Source organism: Homo sapiens, chromosome 10, assembly GCF_000001405.40.
Source record: "Homo sapiens chromosome 10, GRCh38.p14 Primary Assembly".
Lineage (NCBI taxonomy): Eukaryota > Metazoa > Chordata > Mammalia > Primates > Hominidae > Homo > Homo sapiens.
In genome coordinates, this window is record NC_000010.11 from 103,290,691 (window position 1) to 103,313,249 (window position 22,559).

The 22,559-nt window shown below is 44.9% G+C and overlaps 1 protein-coding gene and 1 pseudogene across 2 annotated transcripts in view; both read right to left on the reverse strand.

Annotated features, from left to right (window-relative positions):
* Positions 12,106-22,559, reverse strand: part of PCGF6 (polycomb group ring finger 6) — a 48,345-nt gene continuing 37,891 nt past the window's right edge. For both annotated transcript variants that reach the window (NM_032154.4, NM_001011663.2), the window contains one exon: positions 12,106-13,271. In NM_032154.4, coding sequence (NP_115530.2) covers positions 13,215-13,271 — 57 coding nt within the window. In that variant the 3' untranslated portion in view covers positions 12,106-13,214. The remainder of the gene's footprint in view (positions 13,272-22,559) is intronic.
* On the reverse strand, positions 21,746-21,878 carry RNU11-3P (RNA, U11 small nuclear 3, pseudogene; annotated as a pseudogene).

Here is a 22,559-nt window from a genome sequence, read left to right on the forward strand (position 1 = left end):
GATCACTTCAGCCCGGGAGGTGGATGCTGCAGTGAGTTGAGATCACGCCACTGCACTCCAGCTTGGGCAACAGAGTGAGACCCTATCTCAAAAAAAAGAAGAGTAACTTACAGAGTTGAAAAATGATTAATTCAGAATAATAGATAACATGGAAAATGTTCAGAATCAAAGCAGAGAGGTCAAGAGAAGGAAAGCAAGTGACATCAACTGTTACCTAAACAAGACAACAAAATGAATCCAAGAGATGAGGGGAAAGCCTTCCTGCAGCATGTGCTAATGATATCCCATATGACTTTCAGATTCATTAGACAATTATATCCCCTGCATCCAGAGACTTCATAATAGCTAAACTTTATTCAGTACCTATTTACTATGTGTCAGACACTATATGAGCTAGTAAACAGAATTGTATAAACCTCACAACTACTCGTTAGGTATAGTATTTGTATCCCCATTTTACAAATGAAGAAGTAGAACCTCAGAATAACAAGGTTAATACCCTGGTCTGATATCACACAGGAAGTGGCAGAGCTGAGCTTTGGACCCTTGTCTTCTGTCTGACTCTACAATACTTGCTTTTCTTCCCTTTTTTTTTTTTTTTTTTTTAATGAGATGGAGTCTTGCTCTGTTGTTCAGGCTGGAGTGCAGTGGCATGATTTCGGCTCACTGCAACCTCCACCTCCTGGGTTCAAGCGATTCTCCTTCCTCAGCCTCCCATGTAGCTGGAACTACAGGTGTGTGCCACCACGCCCAGCTAATTTTTGTATTTTCAGTGGAGACGGGGTTTCATCATGTTGGCCAGGCTGGTCTCGACCTCCTGACCTCAAATGATCCACCCGCCTCGGCCTCCCAAAGTACTGGGATTACAGGCGGGAGCCACCACACCTGGCCCTTATGTTTCCTTTCTACATAAATCCCCTTGCTGAAGGGAGTAGAAGTCTTTCTTTTTATCTTGTTCCACCTCTTTCTCACCATGTTTTACTTAAGGTTTCTCTGTCCCAGAAAACTTTTGCAACACCAAATCCTCCAGGCAAACTGCTGCACTCGCAGACTTCCTCAGCCGCTGCCTTCCTGCATTGCCAGGAGGTGGTGGTATCTCAAAACTGGACTTTGGGCCCAGGCAACCACAAATCACCTCTGCTTCTGCCAAAAATTACATAGACTTGGGTACTCGTTTTCTATTAAAAAAAAAAAAAAAGGGAGGTGGGGTGGGCTTTCTTATAATTTAGCAAAGGAATTCTGTAGCTTCCCATCAAGGGGCCAGAAAATGAGGGCGTATTACAGAAGGGACAATTCTACAAGAGGTGGTCAATCCAGGGCACTTAGAATTCATTCTACCGCCTTGGCTATCAAGGCAAAATCTGAACAACTGTCTGGAGGCTACAGCCCAAAGTTTAGCTCCAGAGTTAATGTAAGTCACAAATAATTGTGGGGATAAACTTCTAGAACTTACTTGTGAACTCGAACAGAGGACCAGTGCCACCATTAATGGCTCTAAGGACAAACATGAAATAGCTTTTAAAATGTATTTAAGGTCATACGCGGTGGTTCACGCCCGTAATCCTGGCACTTTGGGAGGCTGAGGCAGGTGAATCACTTGAGGTCAAGAGTTCAGGGCCAGCCTGGCCAACATGGTGAAACTCCATTTCTACTAAAAATACAAAAACTAGCCAGATGTGGTGGCACGTACCTGTAATCCCAGCTACTCGGGAGGCTGAGAGAGGAGAATTGCTTGAACCCAGGGGGTGGAGGTTGCAGCTAGCTGAGATCGCACCACTTCACTCCAGCCTGGGTGAAAGAGTGAAACTGTGTCTCAAAAAAAAAAAAAAGAGTATTTAAAAATCAACTGGGGCCAAGTGTGGTGGCTCACACCTGTAATCCCAGCACTTTGGGAGTCTGAGGCGGGTGGACCACGTGACTTCAGGAGTTCAAGACCAGCCTGGGCAACATGGTAAAACCCTCTCTCTACAAAAAATACAAGAATGACCTGGGCGTGGTGGTGCACACCTGTAGTTCCAGCTACTTGGGAGGCTGAGGTGGGAGGATTGCTTGAGCCCAGGAGGTCGAGGCTGCAGTGAGCCATGATAGTGCCACTGCACTCCAGCCTGGGTGATAGAGTGAGACCGTGTCTCAAAAAACAAAATACAAACCTGCAACAAAAAGCAGACTGAAAGTTGCCAAGGCTTGGCTGGGCGCAGTGCCTCACGCCTGTAATCCGAGAATTTTGGGAGGCCGAGGCGGGTGGATCACCTGAGGTCAGGAGTTCGAGAGCAGCCTGGCCAACATGGTGGAACCCCATCTCTACTAAAAATACAAAATTAGCCAGATGTGGTGGCAGGCAGCTGTAATCCCAGCTACTAAAGAGGCTGAGGTGGGAAAATCGCTTGAACCCGGGAGGCGGAGGTTGCAGTGAGCTGAGATGGTGCCGTTGCACTCCAGCCTGGGCAACTAGAGCAAAACACAGTCTCAAAAAAAAAAAAAAGTTGCCAGGGCTGGAGAGAGGGGGCAATGGGGCATGACTATTCATCGGATATGGGGTTTTATTTTGGTGTGATGAAGATGTTGTGGAACTAGATAGAGGTGGTGGCAGCACAACATTGTGAATGCACTAAGTGCCACTGAATCATTCACTTTAAAATGATTGATTTTATGTTATATAAATTTCACCTCAATTTTAAAAACCCGCTGGTAGGAAATTTGGCCAGGCATGGTGGCTCACGCCTGTAATCCCAGCACTTTGGGAGGCCAAGGTAGGCAGATCACGAGGTCAAGAGATAGAGACCATCCTGGCCAACATGGTGAAACCCTGTCTCTACTAAAAATACAAAAATTAGCTGGGTATGGTGGCGCACGCCTGCAGTCACAGCTACTTGTGAGGCTGAGACAGGAGAATCGCTTGAACCCAGGAGGCGGAGGTTGCAGTGAGCCAAGATCGGGCCACTGCACTCCAGCCTGGTGACAGAGCAAGACTCCATCTCAAAAAAACGAAACAAAAAACAAACCCACTGGTAGGAAATTTATGGAACTATCAGAAAAATATAATCATGAACGTCTCATACACTTTCTGCTCCAGCTGAGACCACTGTGTATAGCCACCCTGGGTCAATCCCCGTTAGAAGGAATCCCATTAGGAAAACATAAACCAGATCTAATAAGAGTATTGATTTCAGCTAGGCGTGGTGGCTTATGCCTGTAATCCCAGCGCTTTCGGAGGCCAAAGCGGGTGGATCACCTGAGGTCAGGGGTTCAAGATCAGCCTGGCCAACATGGTGAAACCCCATCTCTACTAGAAATATAAAAATATTAGCCAGGCATGGTGGGGGACACCTGTAATCCCACCTACTTGGGAGGCTGAGGCAGGAGAATCACTTGAACCCAGAAGGCGGAAGTTGCAGTGAGCCAAGATCATGCCATTGCACTCCAGCCTGGGCAACAAGAGCAAAACTCCGTCTCAAAAAAAAAAAAAAAAAACGAAAAAAAAGAGTATTGATTTCAAAACAGAGCCCAAAGAAAAAGCCAGAAATCTCTCTGGATGTAAATGGGTTTAAACACACACACACACACACACACACACACACACACACACACACGCACGCAGAGCTGGAAATGTTGCTTACTTATAAGTACCATCACTAAATTTCAACTAATATTATTTTTATTATTATATCATCAGATGTCTCTAAGTTCCTGAAAAACACCTAAATTGTAGGAATACTTTTATTTTTTTGGCCGGGCATGGTGGCTTACGCCTGTAATCCCAGCACTTTGGGTGGCCGAGGCGGGCAGATCACAAGGTCAGGAGGTCGAGACCATCCTGTCTAACACGGTGAAAACCCATCTCTACTAAAAATACAAAAAATAAGCCAGGCGTGGTGGCAGGCACCTGTAGTCCCAGCTACTTGGGAGGCTGAGGCAGGAGAATGGCATGAACCCAGGAGGCGGAACTTGTAGTGAGCAGAGATAGAGCCACTGCACTCCAGCCTGGGCAACAGAGTGAGACTCCATCTCAAAAAAAAAAAAAGAATACTTTCATTTTTCTTACAACAAAATAAGTTTATGTACCTGAAAGTTTTTTTGATGTGTGTTTTTGTGTTTGTTTTTGTTGTTGTTGTTGTTGTTGTTGAGACAGAGTCTTGCTCTGTTGCCCAGGCTGGAGTGCAATGGCACGATCTCGGCTCACTGCAACCTCTGCCTCCTGGTTTGAAGTGATTCTCATGCCTCAGCCTCCTGAGCAGCTGGGATTACAAGTATGTGCCACCACACCCGGCTAATTTTTGTATTTTTAGTAAAGACGGGGTTTTGCCATGTTGGCCAAGCCGATCTCAAACTCCTGGTCTCAAGTGATCTGCCTGGCTTGGCCTCCCAAAATGCTGGGATTACAGGTGTGAGCCACCGCACCTGGCCTGTACCTGAAAATTAGCACAGTAATTTAAAATGGAAATAACAGAGAGTGGGCTTCATGGGCGTTTAAAGCAGAACTCATATGTGACATTTGATTTTTCTTTATAGAACACACAATACTGGCTTTGCGAAATTTTCAAGCTTAAGGTACGGGTTACATTGAAGTCATCATGCATTTTGCGATTTTCAAATATCTCACCTGCCATTTTCAAAAGGGTGGGTGCTCCTGAATCTAGCAAATAAAGGACTGTTTTTATTACATTACCATGCCCTGCTGCATACTCTTAAAGAATGAAGAGAGTGATTACTATATAGATCAAAGGGCTTCTCTCCTCCTTTGTTGATCTCCCATAAGATGGTTTGATTTCCCCTATGTTTTATGCTGATATTTCACAGGCTTACTAGCTGGGGGCGGAGACCAGCTAAGATTTATAAACCCTTTTTTACATTCCCTTTAAAACACACACATACACACACACACATACACACAGCAGAATTATGATAAAATGGAGTGAGTCACACTGCAGATATTTCAAGACTTATTTTTTTGCAGTGTCTCAGGGATTCTGAATGAAACAAAACAGAGGAAGCTCAAGCTACAAAGAAAACTGAAGATTGAAGTTAGAGGGGTCTCTAGGCTTGCTTCCTCATTGATTAATCACTGTGGATCACCACATGGCTATTCTCTCCCATAATGAGGCAAATGGTCTCTGTTCTGGGTCTGAGACATTTCATTCTAGTTCTATCATACACTCCTAAGGGTTATAGAATGCTCAGTAGAGTGTAACCAAGATCATTTGTATAAGGACTAGAGTTTTGGAATACTAACGAGTGGCAGCTTTTAGTCAATTGCTGATTATTGCACATGGCAAAAATAGCATATTTTCTTAGAAGTGCTTATTAAAACAAATTTAACTCACAGGTTCATTTGCTATGCTACATGTATGAATAAGTGAGAGGTGTAATTTCAATCTTCCATGGTTTCCTGGGATAAGAATTCATACACGACATTTAAAATTCCTGATATTCTTTAGGGCTAAACAATACTTTATCTTAAACTAAGACTTTAGCTCAACAACAGGAACTCTTTCTGACAACTGAAACTGTCTGTCCATGGAATAATCTGGTCATAAAGCAGAAGCAGAAGAGCTAAGATTGGAATTAGGGTGAAAGCAGAATGCAGGTCCAACTTCTGCTCCTGAGATGTTGATCGCCAAGCTGTATCCCCATCTCTTTCCTGGTTATTGATAGAAGCAGGTAAGATGATAAATATGTAAGAAGAAAGGAAAAAATAGATGGCTCAACAGCAATCTTGTAATATTAATGGACCCTCTTATTCATCAGAAAGGAACTAACTCAGCAAAGTAATCTGAGAAGTGAGTATGTAAGGACCATATTTGAACTTGATAATAGATTGTGCCAGGTACTGTTCTCAGTGCTTTATATATTCACTTGATTCTCATGACAACCCCTTGAGTTAGGTACCATTGTTCCCTTTTACAGAGAAGAAAAACTAAAGTTTACAAAAGTTAAATAATATGTCCAAGATCACAGAGTTTGCAAGCAGCAAAGCTGGGATTTTATGTTTTTGTTTTTTGTTTTTGTTGTTTGTTTTTTTGTTTTTGTTTGTTTTTGAGACAGAGTCAGACTGGAGTGCAGTGGCATGATCTTGGCTCACCGCAACCTCTGCTTCCTGGGTTCAAGTGATTCTCCTGCTTCAGCCTCCCAGGTAGCTGAGACTACAGGTGCTTGCCACCATGCCCGGCTAATTTTTATATTTTTAGTAGAGATGGGGTTTCGCTATGTTGGTCAGGCTGGTCTCAAACTCCTGACCTCAGGTGATCTGCCTGCCTTGGCCTCCCAAAGTGCTGGGATTACAGGCGTGAGCCACCACACCTGGCCTACAGCGGGGATTTTAAGCTCTGTAGTCTGGCTCTATGATTTGTGTCCTTAACGACTATGCAATACTGCCTTTATGTCTTATTTTATTTTATTTTATTTTACTTATTTTTTAAGAGACAGAGTCTCATTCTGCCGCCCAGGCTGGAGTGCAGTGTTATAATTATAGCTCACTGCAGTCTTGAACTCCTGGGGTCAAGTGATCCTCCCGAGTAGCTGGGATTACAGGCACAAAGAACCGTGCCCAGCTCCCTGCCTTTATTTCTGTTCAGGGAAAAAAAATGTTCCTGGCAGCCTTTTCTTCATCTTCTAATTTAAAATATTATTCAACTAGCTTTTCTCTCAGGGAAAATGTTTCCTGAGAAACCTCAGAAGAAAAAATTGTTTCTCATTTCAATGAAAATGGTGTCATAATAAGAAGCCCTGTAAAACCACAGACACCATCAGCACCAAATCAAAATGCAGTATCGATCAAGCCATAATACCCATTCTGTGTAAGTAACTACTTGGCAGGCTTTCGGGAGATCAATATGTCATTTCATTTGTGAGAGGACTATTAATCTCTACAGGTAATAAAATTTAGATTTCACTAGTCCAGTTGTGAAGAGAAGCCAATAATCAAACTCATATACACAACAACATAATGAAAAAGGATAAAAAATAGGACTTCCTCTTAAGACATGGTCTACTAAAGAAAACAAAGATGAACATTCAGAATCAGCATGTGCTTGAATCTTCTCTATTATCAGAGGTTTCCAAGATAACAAAATACAGCATAGTGGTTGCAATGACTAGAGGTTCTTTTTTGAGACACAGTCTCACTCTGTCACCCAGGCTGGAGTGCAGTGGTGCAATCTCAGCTCACTGAAACCTCCGCCTCCCGGGTTCAAGCAATTCTCCTGCCTCAGCCTCCTGAGTAGCTGGGATTACAGGCACACGCCACCACGCCCGGCTAACTTTTGTATTTTTAGTAGAGATGGGGTTTTGTCATATTGGCCAGGCTGGTCTCAAACTCCTGACCTTGTGATCCGCCCACCTCGGCCACCCAAAGTGCTGGGATTACAGGCATGAGCCACTGCACCCAGCTGCGAGTTTTAAAGAAAAGAAAAAACAGAATAAAAATTTTAACAGTGAGTTACAAATACATCTGATGAGTAAATATCTCCTGGTGAAATTATAAGAACACTTATCTAAGAGTGGATAATAGGGTACACACTTTGGACAAGCTGAATTGGACAAATACATGGGTCCAAGGTGTTACTTTCAGGAATCCTAAACCAAGTCTCTGTAGGAGAGGGGATAGAGTATGTCCAGGTCGGTGTTAGCTTGGAGTCCAAAGGAAGAACTGTTGAAACTAGGTAAGAATGCATCTGACTGAAGCAGCAGAGAAAGGCAGTGCAGAGGAAGGAGAGTGACGCCCAAGGTCAGCGGGAATGGCTGAGATCTATATTACAGAGAAAACGGGATGGCATTAAAGGAGAAACGAGAAAACTGCTAAGCACTCATTCTGCCAAATTAAAACTACCACGAATGGCCAGGCACAGTGGCTCATGCCTGTAATCCCAGCATTTTGGGAGGCCAAGGAGGGCAGATCACCTGAGGTCAGGAGTTTGAGAGCAGCCTGGCCAACATAGTGAAACCCCGTTTCTACTAAAAATACAAAAATTAGCCGGGTGTGGTGGTGAGTGCCTGTAGTCCCAGCTACTCGGGAGGCTGAGGCAGGAGAATTCCTTGAACCTGGGAGGCAGAGGCTGCAGCCGGCTGAGATTGTGCCACTGCACTTTAGCCTGGGTGACAGAATGAGACTCTGTTTCAAAAAAAAAAAAAAAAATTAAAAAAAAAAATAAAACTACCATGAACTATTCCTCTGGGCATCTTTGCTTAATATTACCTCAGATAGGGATTAGGCAAAAACAAAAGGACCTGCAAATTGTCCCAATCAAACAAATCTTTCTTTAGCCATTGAAGTTAGGCTCTAGAATCTGTACTTCATATGCTCTATTGCAAACTTTTGTGCAGATTTGGGTATCTAGTTTTGTTTCTGTTTCTGTTCCTAGTAAAAACTCCTTTTGAAAAAACTTTCAACCAGGCGCAGTGGCTCATGCCTGTAATTTCAGCACTTTAGGAGGCTGAGGCAGGAGAATTGCTTGAACCTAGGCGGCAGAGGTTGCAGTGAGCTGAGATCGAGCCACTGCACTCCAGCTTGGGAGACAGAGTGAGACTCTGTGTCAAAAAAAAATTAATAAAATAAAAAACCTTCATCTCAGCTAAACTAAATGCATGGTGCTGGTGGTGACAATAAGACTAACACATGTATCCGGGCCTTGTGCACCTTCAGCAGAGATAAAGTGAGAACAGGTAAGTGGGGGAATCAGAGTGAATCAAGACTGGGCATTTGAGCCTGACATGGTGGCTCATGACTGTAACCCCAGCACTTTGGGATGCTGAGGTGGACAGAAACCCCAACTCCACTAAAAATACAAAAATTAGCCAGGCATGGTGGCAGGCACCTGTAGTCCCAGTTACTCAGGAGGCTGAGGTGGGGGAGGATTCCTTGAGCGGGGAAGATGGAGCCTGCAGTGAGCTGAGATCATGCCACGGCACTCCAGCCTGGGAAACAGAGGGAGACCTTATCTCAAAAAAAAAAAAAAAAAAAAAAAAAAAGCTGGGTGTGGTGGCTCATGCCTGTAATCCCAGCACTTTGGGAGGCTGAGGCAGGCGGATCATGAGGGTCAGGAGTTCGAGACCAACAACAACAACAACAACAACAAAAGACTGGGCGTTTTTTTTTTTTTTTTTTTTTTTAAGGAGACAGAGTCTCACTTTGTCACCCAGGCTGGAGTGTGCAGTGCAGTGGCATGATTGTAGCTCACTGCAGCCTTGACCTCCTGGGCTCAAGCAATCTCCTTGCTTCAGCCTCCCAAGTAGCTGGGATCAGAGGAGCACACAACCACGACTAGCTAATTTTTTTTTTTTTTAAACGGAGTCTTGCTCTGTCGCCCAGGCTGGAGTGCAGTGGCGTGATCTCCGCTCACTGCAAGCTCCGCCTCCCTGGTTCACGCCATTCTCCTGCCTCAGCCTCCTGAGTAGCTGGGACTACAGGCGCCTGCCACTATGCCCGGCTAATTTTTTGTATTTTTAGTAGAGATGGGGTTTCACCGTGTTAGCCAGGATGGTCTTGATCTCCTGACCTCGTGATCCGCCCACCTTGGCCTCCCAAAGTGCTGGGATTACAGGAGTGAGCCACCTCGCCCGGCACAACTAGCTAATTTTTATTTTTATTTTTTGAGACAGGATCTGCCTCTGTAACCCGGGCTATGTGCAGTGGTGCAATCTCAGCTGACTGCAACCTCCATCTCCTGGGCTCAAGTGATACTCCCACCTCAGCCTCTTGAGTAGATGGGACTACAGGCTCGCCCCACCATACCTGGCTAATTTTTGTATTTTTTGTAGAGTCGGTGTTTCGCCATGTTGCCCAGGCTGGTCTCAAACTCCTGGGCTCAGGCGATCCTCCCACATTTGCCTCCCGAAGTGCTGGAATTACAGGCGTGAGCCATGGTGCCCAGCATCTGGCTAATTTTTACTTGTGGTTTTTCCCTCATTTTTTGACCTTCTGGTTATTTAAAGACAGCTACAGGCCGGGCGCGGTGGCTCACGCCTGTAATCCTCGCACTTTGGGAGGCCGAGGTGCGTGGATCATGAGGTCAGGAGTTCAAGACCAGTCTGGCCAAGATGGTGAAACCCCATCTCTACTAAAAATACAAAAAATTAGCCGGGCACGGTGGCGGGCACGGTGGCAGGCACTTGTAATCTCAGCTACTTGGGAGGTTGAGGCAGAAAAATCGCTTGAACTCGGAGGATGGAGGTTGCAGTAAGCCGAGATCTTGCCAATGCACTCCAGCCTGGTGACAGAGCAAGACTCTGTTTAAAAAAAAAAAAGAAAAGGTAGAATTTTTTTGACTCACAGTACTTACCAATAACTGCTTTTTATTAGATTCTTAGAGGTGTTGTAACCCATAGGCTGTGAGTTCCTTGAAGACAGATCACTCCTCTTTGAATCTTCTTGTCCACACAATGTCTAACAAGTGACACTCTTAACTTGCTCATCACAGAAGTGTTTATCAAATAATTACATTTGATATTCTACTTTTAAGGAGATAAGTATTTTGCCATGTTACAGTAATGAATGGGATGGTTATTGAGGAAAATAGGGGGTAAGTGAATGCTTACCCCAAGTCTACAGTTGAGTCTCTGTGGGGATAATCTCTTCCCTGAAATGGCAAAATTTGTAATGTGGCCGGGCGCGTTGGCTCACACCTGTAATCCCAGCACTTTGGGAGGCTGAGGTGGGCGGATCACGAGGTCCACGAGGTCAGCAGTTTGAGACCAGCCTGACCAACATGGTGAAACCCCGTCTCTACTAAAAATACAAAAATTAGCTAGGCATGGTGGCGGGTGGCCTGTAATCCCAGCTATTCAGGAGGCTGAGGCAGGAGAATCGCTTAAACCCGGGAGGTAGAGGTTGCAGTGAGCCGAGATCATACCACTGCACTCCAGCCTGGGCAACAGTGCGAGACTTGTCTCAAAAAAAAAAAAAAAATTAGCCGTGTGTGGTGGCACAGGCCTGTAATCCCAGCTACTCGGGAGGCTGAGGCACAAGAATCGCTTGAATTTGGGAGGCAGAGGTAGCAGTGAGGTGAGATCACGCCACTGCACTCCACCTGGGTGACAGCCTTAAGACTCTGTCTCAAAAAAAAAAAAAAAAATCTGTAATGTTGAAAACAACAAAATCTGGGTTCTGAAGACAATAATCTTTAAACATTAACATCTCTTCAACTCTCGGTCAACTCACTTGTTACAAGTGGCACATTCTAAGTAGCTACTAAAGATCAGGCTTTTTTTGAGACAGTGTCTTGCTCTGTTGCCTAGGCTGGAGTGCAGCGGCAGGATCGTAGCTCACTGTAGCCTTGACCACCCAGGCTATTGATCCTCCTGAGTAGTTGGGACTACAGCCATTCACCACCATGCCCAGGTAATTTTTTTTTTTTTTCTGTAGAGATGGGATCTTGCTATGTTGCCTAGGCTGGTCTCGAATTCCTGAGCTCAAGTGATCTGCCCACCTTGGCCTCCCAAAGTGCTGGGATTACAGGCATGAGCCACCACGCCTGGCTTATTTTTTATTTTTTTTGAGATGGAGTCTCACTCACTCTGTCGCCCAGGCTGGAGAGCAGTGGCACAGTCTCGGCTCACTGCAACCTCCGTCTCCTGGGCTCAAGCGATTCTCCTGCCTCAGCCTCCCAAGTAGCTGGGAATACAGGCACACACCACCATGCCCAGCTACTTTTGTATTTTTAGTAGAGACGTTGGCCAGGCTGGTTTCAAACTCCTGACCTCAAATGATCTGCCCGTCTGGCCTCCCAAAGTGCTGGGATTACAGGCATGAGCCACAGTGCCTGACCTGGTTTTTTTTTTTTTTTTTGTGAGATGGAGTCTTGCTCTGTCTCCCAGGCTGGAATGCAATGGTGCAATCTCAGCTCACTGCCTCCCAGATTCAAGCAATTCTCCTTCCTCAGCCTCCTGAGTAGCTGGGATTACAGGTACCTGCTACCACACCCAGCTAATTTTTGTATTTTTAGTAGAGACGAGGCTTAACCATATTGGCCAGGCTGGTCTCAAACTCCTGACCTCAGGTGATCCACCTGCCTCGGTCTTCCAAAGTGCTGGGATTACAGGCGTGAGCCACTGCACCCAGCCCTGGCCTGGTTATTTTTTTTTTAACCCACAGTAAACACTAACATTCCCAAATAGGTTAAAATACATTTTTATTAAATGTTAGAATAAATTTATACACAATTCACAAATTCTTTACAAAGAATTGCCAATCTTTTTCCAATTTTGTAGTAGTCTCTACACATTCAGAAATTCTGCTGTTAAACAGGATTTATAAAATATTTCTTTCAGAAAGCATCACAATGCTAATTTTAGGCAAATAATGTTTTAAAACTGAAGTCTTTGCATGGAGGTGAGCTCAAACACCCTTATTCTTTATTGCAGTGATGAAATAATGAGAAAAATAAACATTAAACTGACTTACTAAGAAAACAATGAATAAGTAATTCTGTAAACTTCTCAAATTCTCCTAAAATTTTTTATTACTTTCAGAAGCAATACTATTGCAAGGTATCAACAACCACACTATGTACCCAAATAAAATGAATGTCAGAAATAAAAATACTGTCACAAAGAAGCACCCCTTATTGGAAGATGTATTGAAGAAGTCTTATTACACTGAAATTTTATGGCACAGATCATAAACTCAGAGTCTCTTCACACATAATAACAATTCATCCATTTTGAAATGAGTAACTTCTCCTTTGTAGTGTTGCTAGTATAAAAAAAGGTACAAGTTCAAAATATGCTGGCAACATACAAAAGTGGCCAATAGTTTTGGTCTTTGAGAGTACACCCTGCAGTTTAACAAAGACTGGCTTTGAATCTTCCACTCAAAAGCACACTTCTCTTCCAAAAAGATGACTGCCCAACTGATGCCATCCCAGAGAGCAGATATCCCAACCACCAACTTGAAATGGCTGAACAAAGAAAACTAACCAATTACTTCAAAGATGGGAAGCAAAATCAATGTCAAGGTATTTAAAATCATAAGAAATTTTAAAATTCAATTTTTGAAAAATTTCCCCTGAGCTTTGGCTGCTTTTTATATACAGTCTCTAGTAACAGATGCATTCCATCGTTCCAAGTTGTACTTATAAACGCTATAATTCTTGGTGCTAAAAATAGGTAAGTTATGTCTTGAACAGCAAAGTGGTAGCAATTACATTTCATGGAAATCTTTGGTGAGATGCAGTCCTGCAGAAGCCTCCTTTGTTTCCCTCCTCATAATGTGCCTAGAATCTTCAAGTTATCTTCAGAGGAGAAACCACAAGACCATAATGAAGGACAAGCAGACCATCCTGAAAAGGGGAGAAAAAAAGACGATTTTGCAGTTCTTTCAAACCAGTAATGCAAATGATCAAGTCAAAGCTGGCTTACTTTTTTTTAATAATCTAACACTAAGGTGAAATTCTTTAATTTAAAGAAAATAAGTGGACCATATAGTTTCTTATTCACCAAACACTCCTTGTGAATGTGCTTTTTTTTTTTTTTGAGACAGAGTCTCACTCTGTTGCCCAGGCTGGAGTGCAGTGGTGCAATCTCAGCTCACTGCAACCTCTGCCTCCCAGGTTCAAGCAATTCTCCTGCTTCAGCCTCCCAAGTAGCTGGGATTACAGGCACCCGCCACCATACTCAGCTAATTTTTGTACGTATGTATCATATGCATGTATGTATGTATACATTTATTTATTTTTTGAGTCGGAATCTTGCTCTGTTGCCCAGGCTGGAGTACAGTGGTGCGATCTCTGCTCACTGCAGCCTATGCCTCCCAGGTTCAAGCAATTCTCCTGCCTCAGCCTACCGAGTAGCTGCAATTACACGTGCGTGCTACCAGGCCCAGCTAAATTTTGTATTTTTAGTAGAGACAGGGTTTTGCCATGTTGGCCAGGCTGGTCTTGAACTCCTAATCTCAGATGATCCTCCTGCCTCAGCCTCCCACAGTGCTGGGATTAGAGGCGTGAGCCAGAACACCTGGCCCGACACCCAGCCCCACTTTTTTTTTTTTTTTTGAAGACAGGGTCTTGCTGTGTTGCCCAGGCTGGAGTTCAGTGGCCAAATCTGGACTCACTGCAGCCTTGACCACCTGGGCTCAAGCGATCCTCCCACCTCAGCCTTATGAATAGCTGGGAAAATAGACACGCACCACCACCAGACTCATTTTTGTATTTTTTGTAGGAGACAGAGTTTCACCGTATTGCATAGGCTGGGCTCAAACAATCTGCCTGTCTCAGACTCCCAAAGTGCTGGGATTACAAGCGTGAGCCATCTAGACCAGCTTGTCAATGTGTCTTTTTAATGACTCTCAGGAGCCAATTCTGAAACTATCATGTAGCCATAAACACAAACTGGAGTGCAATGGCGCGATCATAGCTCACTGTAGCCTCAATCTCCCAGGCTCAAGTGATCCTCCAACCTCAGCTTCGCAACTAGCTGGGACCACACACACGCATGTGCCACCATGCCTGGCTACTTCAAAATTTTTTTTTTCCCAGTATAAACGAGGTCTTGCTATGTAACCCAGGCTGGTCTCAAACTCTTGAGCTTCAAGCAATACCCCCATCTTGGCTTCCCAAAGTGTGGGATTACAGGTGTGAGGCACGCATCCAGCCCAGACTTTTTTTTTTTTGAAACACAGTCTGGCTCTGTCACCAGGCTGGAGTGCAATGGCGCAATCTTGGCTCACTGCAACCTCCGCCTCCCGGGTTCAAGCGATTCTCCTGCCTCAGCCTCTTGACCAGCTGGAACGACAGGGGCCCGCCATCACGCCTGGCTAATTTTCGTAATTTTAGTAGAGACGGGGTTTCACCATGTTGGCCAGGCTGGTCCCGAACTCCTGACCTCAGGTGATCTGCCCACCTCAGCCTTCCAAAGTGCTGGGATTACAAGTGTGACCCGCTGCACCCGGCCCTAGACTTCTTAATAGACTATTTAAGCATTAGATTCTCCTAAAAAAGACTCAACTACTACAACGCATCGCAGATCTGTTCACTTCCACATAAATGCAGCTCACCACTATAATAATTGCTAAAGCTCTGAAACACTTACTCATTTAATGAAAGCCTAAAATATATATGTTTTACTTCTGCCTTAAAGAATGCCCTCAGCTGGATGCAGTGGCTCATGCCTGTAATCCCAACACTTTGAGAGTCCGAGGTGGGCAGGTCACTTGAGACCGGGAGTTCAAGACCAGCCTGGGCAACATGGTGAAACTCCCCCTCTCTACTTATATAATTTAAAAAAAAAAAAAAGGAAAAAGAATTTTTTAAAAGAGTAAAGAATGCCCCAGGGCAGTTAGGCAACTTAACCCCCATACTATATGATTCCAGATGCTATGTGTCCAAGTCTTTTTATCTACTTTTTGTGGCGTTCTATCTCCTTTCTTGATACCAGATCTTAATTCTTTGGCTCTCACCAAGGCTGCATCCGCAAGCAATCCACCTTTTTTTTTTTTTGAGATGGAGTTTTGCTCTCTTGCCCAGGTTGGAGTGCAATGGTGCCATCTCGGCTCACTGCAATCTCCGCCTCCCGGGTTCAAGCGATTCTCCTGCCTCAGCCTCCTGAGTAGCTGGGATTACAGGCAGGCGTCAACACCCACCGCTAATTTTTGTATTTTGAGTAGAGATGGGGTTTCTCCATGTTGGTCAGGCTGGTCTTGAACTCGCGACCTCAGGTGATCCGCCCGCCTTGGCCTCCCAAAGTGCTGGAATTATAGGTGTGAGCCACAACGCCTGGCCGCAATCCACCTTTTTAAGGGACTATTTCTAATTTCCTGCAGACTGGATAACTAGCTAAAAGGAAAGGTCATTGGGAAATGTGCCACAGACCTGAACTGAGCAACACAGAGAAGGGGTTGCAGCTCATATATCCTGTATTTCCAGTGCTGCTCTGGCTATTACTCTCCTTCGCTTCTTTGCTAAGCTTTTCCATGGCTCCACTTCCTCACTCCTCAACTCACTGCAATCTGGTTTGTGTTCCTGGCAATTACAGTAAAAACTCACCAGAATTCTAGAAAAAGGTTCACAAATTCAAGTGCCCACAAGGCCCAGGCCAGTAACATAAATGAATACATAAGTTAGGTATGTGAAGTCAATAGGGAATGTTGAAGACCAGTGGTAAACCAGAGAGAGCAGATGTCTATCTAAAGAAATTTAAACTCAAGGCCAGGTGCAGGGGCTCATGCCTATAATCCTAGCACTTTGGGAGGCCAAGGCAGGTGGATCACCTGAGCCCAGGAGTTCAAGACCACACTGGGCAACATAGTGAGACCCCGTCTCTACAAAAAATACAAAAATTAGCCAGGTGTGGTGGCACATGTCTATATTTCCAGCTACTCAAGAGGCTGAGGTGGGAGGATCACTTGAGCCTGGGAGGCAAAGGTTGCAGTGAGCCAAGATCATGCCACTGCACTCCAGCCTGGGTGACAGAGCCAGACCCTGTCTCAAAAACAAACAAAAAATAAAAAATAAAAAAATAAAAAAATTTAAACACAAGGCCAGGTGTGGTGGCTCATGGCTCATGCCTGTAATCCCAGCACTTTGAAAGGCTGAGGTTGGAGTATCACTTGAGCTCAGGAGTTCAAGACCAGCCTGGGCAACAAAGTGAGACCCCCATTTCTATGAAAAATAAAAAAATTAGCCAGTGGCACACCTCTGGTAACCAGCCACACGGGAGGCTGAGGCAGGAGGATTGCTTGAGCCCAGGAGGTTGAGGCTACAGTGAACCATATTCATGCCACTGCACTCCAACCTGGGCAACACGACAAGACCACACAGCAAGACCCTGTCTCAAAAAAAAAAGAAAGAAAGTTTGTTTATTTCATTCATTTATTATTTTGAGACAGGGTCTTGCTCTGTCGCACAGGCTGGCATGAATGATCAGAGCTCGCAACAGCCCTGAACTCCCAGGCTTAAGTGATCTTCTCACCTTAGTCTCCCAAGTAGCTGGGACTACAGGTGCATGCCACCATGCCCTGCCAGTTTTTGTATTTTTTGTAGAGACAGGGTTTCAGCATGTTGCCCAGGCTGGTCTCAAACTCCTGGGCTCAAGTGACCCTCCCGCCTCGGCCTCCCAGAATACGGGGATTACAGGTGTGAGACATCATGCCTAACCTGAGTACATTTTATGATGCTTGCACAATCATTAAATTGCCTAACAATGCATTTCTCAGAACATATCCCTATTGTTAAGTGACGCATAACTGCATATATATTTGCAGACTTAATGACTATGGTTTATTGTGGAAATCTTTATTGAATTTTTAAAAATAAAATTAATTTAAAATGTTCTTTTTGGCCAGGCATGCTGGCTCACGCCTGGAATCCCAGCAGTTTGGGAGGCTGAGGCGAGCAGATCACTTGAGGTCAGGAGTTCAAGACCGGCCTGGATGTCTAGGCAGAAGCCTGCTGTAGTGGCAGAGCCCTCACAGAGAACCTCTACTAGGGCAGTGCGGAGGGGAAAAGTGGGGTTGGAGCCCCCACATAGGGTCTCCACTGGGGAACTGCCCAGTGGTGCTGTGAGAAGAGGGCCACTGTCCTCCAGATCCCAGAATGGTAGACCCACTGAGAGCTTGCACCCTGAGTTTGAAAATGCCATAGGCACTCAACACCAGCTCGTGAGAGAAGCCATGGGGGCCAAACCCTGCAAGGTCACAGAGGTGGAGCTGCTCAAGGCCTTGGGAACCCACCCTTGCACCAGTGTACCATGGATGTAGGGCAGGGAGACAAAGGAGATTTTAGAGCTTTTTTTTTTTTTCTGAGACAGAGTCTTGCTCTGTTGCCCAGGCTGGAGTGCAGTGGTGTGATCTCTGCTCACTGCAACCTCTGCCTCCCAGGTTCAAGCAATTCTCCTACCTCAGCCTCCCAAGTAGCTGGGATTACAGTAGTGCACCACCATGCCTGGCTAATTTTGAGCTTTAAGATTTAATGAGAGCCAGGCATGGTGGATCACGCCTGTAATCCCAGCACTTTGGAAAGCTGAGGCAGAAAGATTGCCTGAGCCCAGGGGTTTGAGACCAGCCGGGGCAACATGGTAAAACCCCATCTCTACAAAAAAATACAAAAATTAGCCAGGTTTGGTGGTGTGCACCTGCAGTCCCACCAAGCTGGGAGGCTGAGGTGGGAGAATCACTTGAGCCTGGGAGGCAGAGGTTGCAGTGAGCCTATCACACTACTGCACTCTAACCTGAGTGACAGAGAGAGAGAGACTCCATCTCAAAAAATAAATAAATAAATAAAAATAAAAAAATTAATGGCTGCTGTTCTGTGTTTCAGACTTACATGGGGACATATAGCCTCATTCTTTTGGCCAATTTCTCCCTTTTGGAATGAGAGTTATTTGCCCAATGTTTATACCCCCATTGTATCTTGGAAGTAACTAACTTGTTTTTGATTTGACAGGCTCATAGGCAGAAGGGACTAGCCTTGTCTCAGATGAGACTATGGAATTTTGAGTTAATGCTGAAAATGAGTTAAGACTTTGGGGGACTATTGGGAAATCATGATTGTCTTTTGAAATGTGAGGACATGAGATTTGGTGGGGGGGGGGCATGATTTGGGTGGAATGATATGGTTTGGATCTGTGTCCCCACCAAATCTCATGTTGAATTGTAATCCCCAATGTTGGAGGTGGGGCCTGGTGGGAGGTGATTGGATCACGGGGTTGGATTTCTCATGAATGGTTTAGCACAATTTCCCTTTGGTAATGTCCTCACAAAAGTGAATAAGGTCTTGTGTGATATGGTTGTTTAAAAGTGTGTAGCACTTCCCTCCTTATTCTCTCTCTTCTGGTTCCTATCATGTTTTTGCCTTCAGCCATGATTGGAAGCTAAGCTGCTATGATTCCTGTACAGCCTGCAGAACTGTGAGACAATTAAATCTGTTTTATTTGTAAATCACCCAGTCTCAGGTATTTCTTTATAGCAATGTAAGAATGGACTAATACAGTATGTGAATTACATCTTAACAAAACTGCTATTTTAAGAAACAGAGTTCAGGCATGGTGGCTCACACCTATAATCCCAGCACTTTGGGAGGCTGAGATGGCTGATTGCTTGATCTCAGGAGTTCAAAACCAGCCTGGGCAACATGGCAAAACCCCATCTCTACAAAAAATTAAAAAAAATAGCCAGATGTGGTGGTGCACATCTGTAACGTCTGTTGTCCCAGCTACTTGGGAGGCTGAGGTGGGAAGAGATCAATTGAGCCCCCCAGGTTGAGGCTACACTGAGCCATGATTGTGCCACTGCATTCCATGCATTCTAGGCTGGGCAAAACAGAGTGAGACCTTGTCTTTCTTTTTTTTTTTTTTGAGACAGAGTTTTGCTGTTGTTGCCTAGGCTGGAGTGCAATGGTGCAATTTCAGCTCATTGAAACCTCTGCCTCCCAGGTTCAGGCAATTCCCTGCCTCAGCCTCCCGAGTAGCTGGGATTACAGGCACCCGCCACCATGCCCGGCTAATTTTTTGTATTTTTAGTAGAGATGGGGTTTCACCATGTTAGCCAGGCTGGTCTTGAACTCCTGACCTTAGGTGATCCCCCCACCTCGGCCTCTCAAAGTGCTGGGATTACAGGCATGAGCCACCACACCTGGCCCAACCATGTCTTAAAAAAAAAAAAAGAAAGAAAGAAAAGAGAAAACTAATCCCCAGTGACAAAATCATAACAATGGTTGCCTTGGTGCTAGGGAGAAGAATTAACTGGGAAGGAGCATGAGAGAACTCTCTGGGAGTGACAGAAAGGTTCTGTATGTGAAGGAGGGGTTTGAGTTAAACAAATAGGTATTTGTTGAAACTCATGCATTTCATTATATGTCAATTAAAATATATCATATGTACATTATGCACATATAACTATGCATATGTGTATATTTTCTGCTTCTTCCAAGGAACTGTATAATTTGCATTAAGAAAATAATTCTTGGGAACAGATTGTGAGGACAAGAAAAAAAGATAATTCTTATAATATTCACATCTTCTTTTGAGCAGTTGTTCCATTGAGACAAAGGAACATAGGCAATTATACCAAAAAAAAAAATATTATTTCTTTTCTTTCTCTTTTTTTGAAAAAGGGTCTTACTCTGTCGCCCAGGCTGGAGTGCAGTGGTGTGATCATGGATCACTGCAACCTCAACCTCTCGGGTCAATCAATCTTCTCCCTCCTCAGCCTTCTAAGTAGTTGGGACTATAGGCATGTGCCACCACACCTGGTTAATTTTTGTATTTCGTAGAGATGGGGTTTCATCACGTTGTCTAAGCTGGTCTTGAAGTGTTGGACTCAAACAATCCCTCTGCCTCAGCCTCCCCAGGTAACTGGGACCACAGGTATGCACAACCATGTCTGCTAATTTTTCTATCCTTTGTAAAGACGGGACTCGCTATACTGCCCAGGCAAGTCTTGGAACTCCTGGGGTCAAATGATCCTCCCATCTTGGCCCCACAAAATGTTGGGATTATAGGAGCAAGCGACTATGCCTGGCCAAGAATCACTTTTCTTTTCTTTTTGAAACCGAGTCTTGCTCTGCCGTCCAGGCTGATGTGCAGTAGTGCGATCTTGGCTCACCGCAAACTCTGCCTCCCGGGTTCAAGCGATTCTCCTGCCTCAGCCTCCCGAGTAGCTGGGATTACAGGCACCTGCCACCACGCCCAGCTAATTTTTGTATTTTTAGTAGAGATGGGGTTTCAGGATGTTGGCCAGGCTGGTCTTGAACTCCTGACTTCAAATGATCTGCCCGTCTCTGCCTTCCAAAGTGCTGGGATTACAGGTGTGAGCCACTGTGCCCGGCCTCTCTCTTTTTTTTTTTTTTTGAGACATGGTCCTGCTCCGTTGCCCAAGCTGGAGTACAGAGCCACTCATGGGTCATTGCAGCTGCGACCTCCCGGGCTTGAAGCGATTCTCCCACCCTGCCTCCCGAAGTGCTGGGATTACAGGCATGAGCCACCACCGCACCTAGCCGCATTTCTTGTCTTTAATAGAGATATTTACCATATGTTTTCTATACTTAAGATACACAAAATGTTTGTCCTTGTGTTATAATCACCCACAACATTTAATACAACAAACCAATCACATAACCTAGAAACAGTGCATCACACCACACAGCCCTAAGAGGGAGCAGAAACCTGGATTTACCCAATAGGCCATGACTGTCAGCCACGTGTGGTGGCTCATGCCTGTAATCCCAGCACTTTGGGAGGCTGAGGTGGGCAGATCACTTGAGGCCAAGAGTTTGAGATTAGCCTCGCCAACACGGTGAAACCTCATCTGTATTAAAAATACAAAAATTAGCTGGTGTGGTGGGACACCTATAGTCCCAGCTACTTGGCAGGCTGAGGTACTAGAATCACTTGACCCCAGGAGGAGGAGGTGCAGTGAGCCGAAATCACGCCACTGCACTCCAGCCTGGTGACAGAGCAAGACTCTGTCTCCAAAAAAAAAAAAAAAAAAAAAAGTCACGGTTGGGCATGGTGGCTCACGCCTGTAATCCCAGCACTTTGGGAGGCTGATGCAGGCAGATCAGGAGGTCAGGAGATCGAGACCATCCTGGCTAACACAGTGAAACCCCGTCTCTATTAAAAATACAAAAAATTAGCCAGGCGTGGTGGCAGGCACCTATAGTCCCAGCTACCTGGGAGGCTGAGGCAGGAGAATCCCTTGAACCCGGGAGGCAGAGGTTGTAGTGAGCTGAGATCGCACCACTGCACTCCAGCCTGTTGACAGAGCAAGACTCCGTCTCAAAAAAAAAAAAAAAGTCACAACTGTCTAATTTACACAACAAGTAAGGGCTACAGGACCAATGATCACCAGCTGCCCAAGTACCAAAAAATTATGCTTCTGAAATCTCTTGATGTTGATTCTGGCACCAAGAGCAAACGATGCCCTATGTGTGCCACTCACAGCAGAAGCCCTTTTTTCCCCAAGAATTATATTTCTAGCAAACAAAAATTTGTTTGAGAGTTCATCAAATCTTCATTAGTACTTCATAAGCTTCTCAGAGTCATATAGCTCTTAAAACAATTTTCATGGCCGGGCGCGGTGGCTCACACCTGTAATCCCAGCACTTTGGGAGGCCCAGGTGGGTGGATCACCTGAGGTCGGGAGTTAGAGACCAGCCTGACCAACACAGAGAAACCCTGTCTCTACTAAAAACACAAAATTAGTTGGGCGTGGTGGCGCATGCCTGTAAACCCAGCTACTCGGGAGGCTGAGGCAGGAGAATGGCGTGAACCCGGGAGGCGGAGCTTGCAGTGAGCCGAGATCACGCCACTGCACTCCAGCCTGGGCGACAGAGCGAGACTCCGTCTCAAAAACAAAAACAAAAACAAAAACAAAAACAAAAACAACTTTCCACTATAGATTCAGAAATACATTAGAATATGTGGTCCTATTTTCTCTTCATTAAACTTGTAGATCCTATCTTGGTTTTTATTATTTTGACTAAGAGACTTCACATTATATTCCCACTCACATTATAGGTTAATTAAAACATCAAAATAGTTACCTTGAGTTCTTATCTACTGTATAAGAAAAGCTATGTGAATCTCTAAAGCAGGGGTGTCCAATCTTTTGGCTTCCCTGGGCCACACTGGAAGAA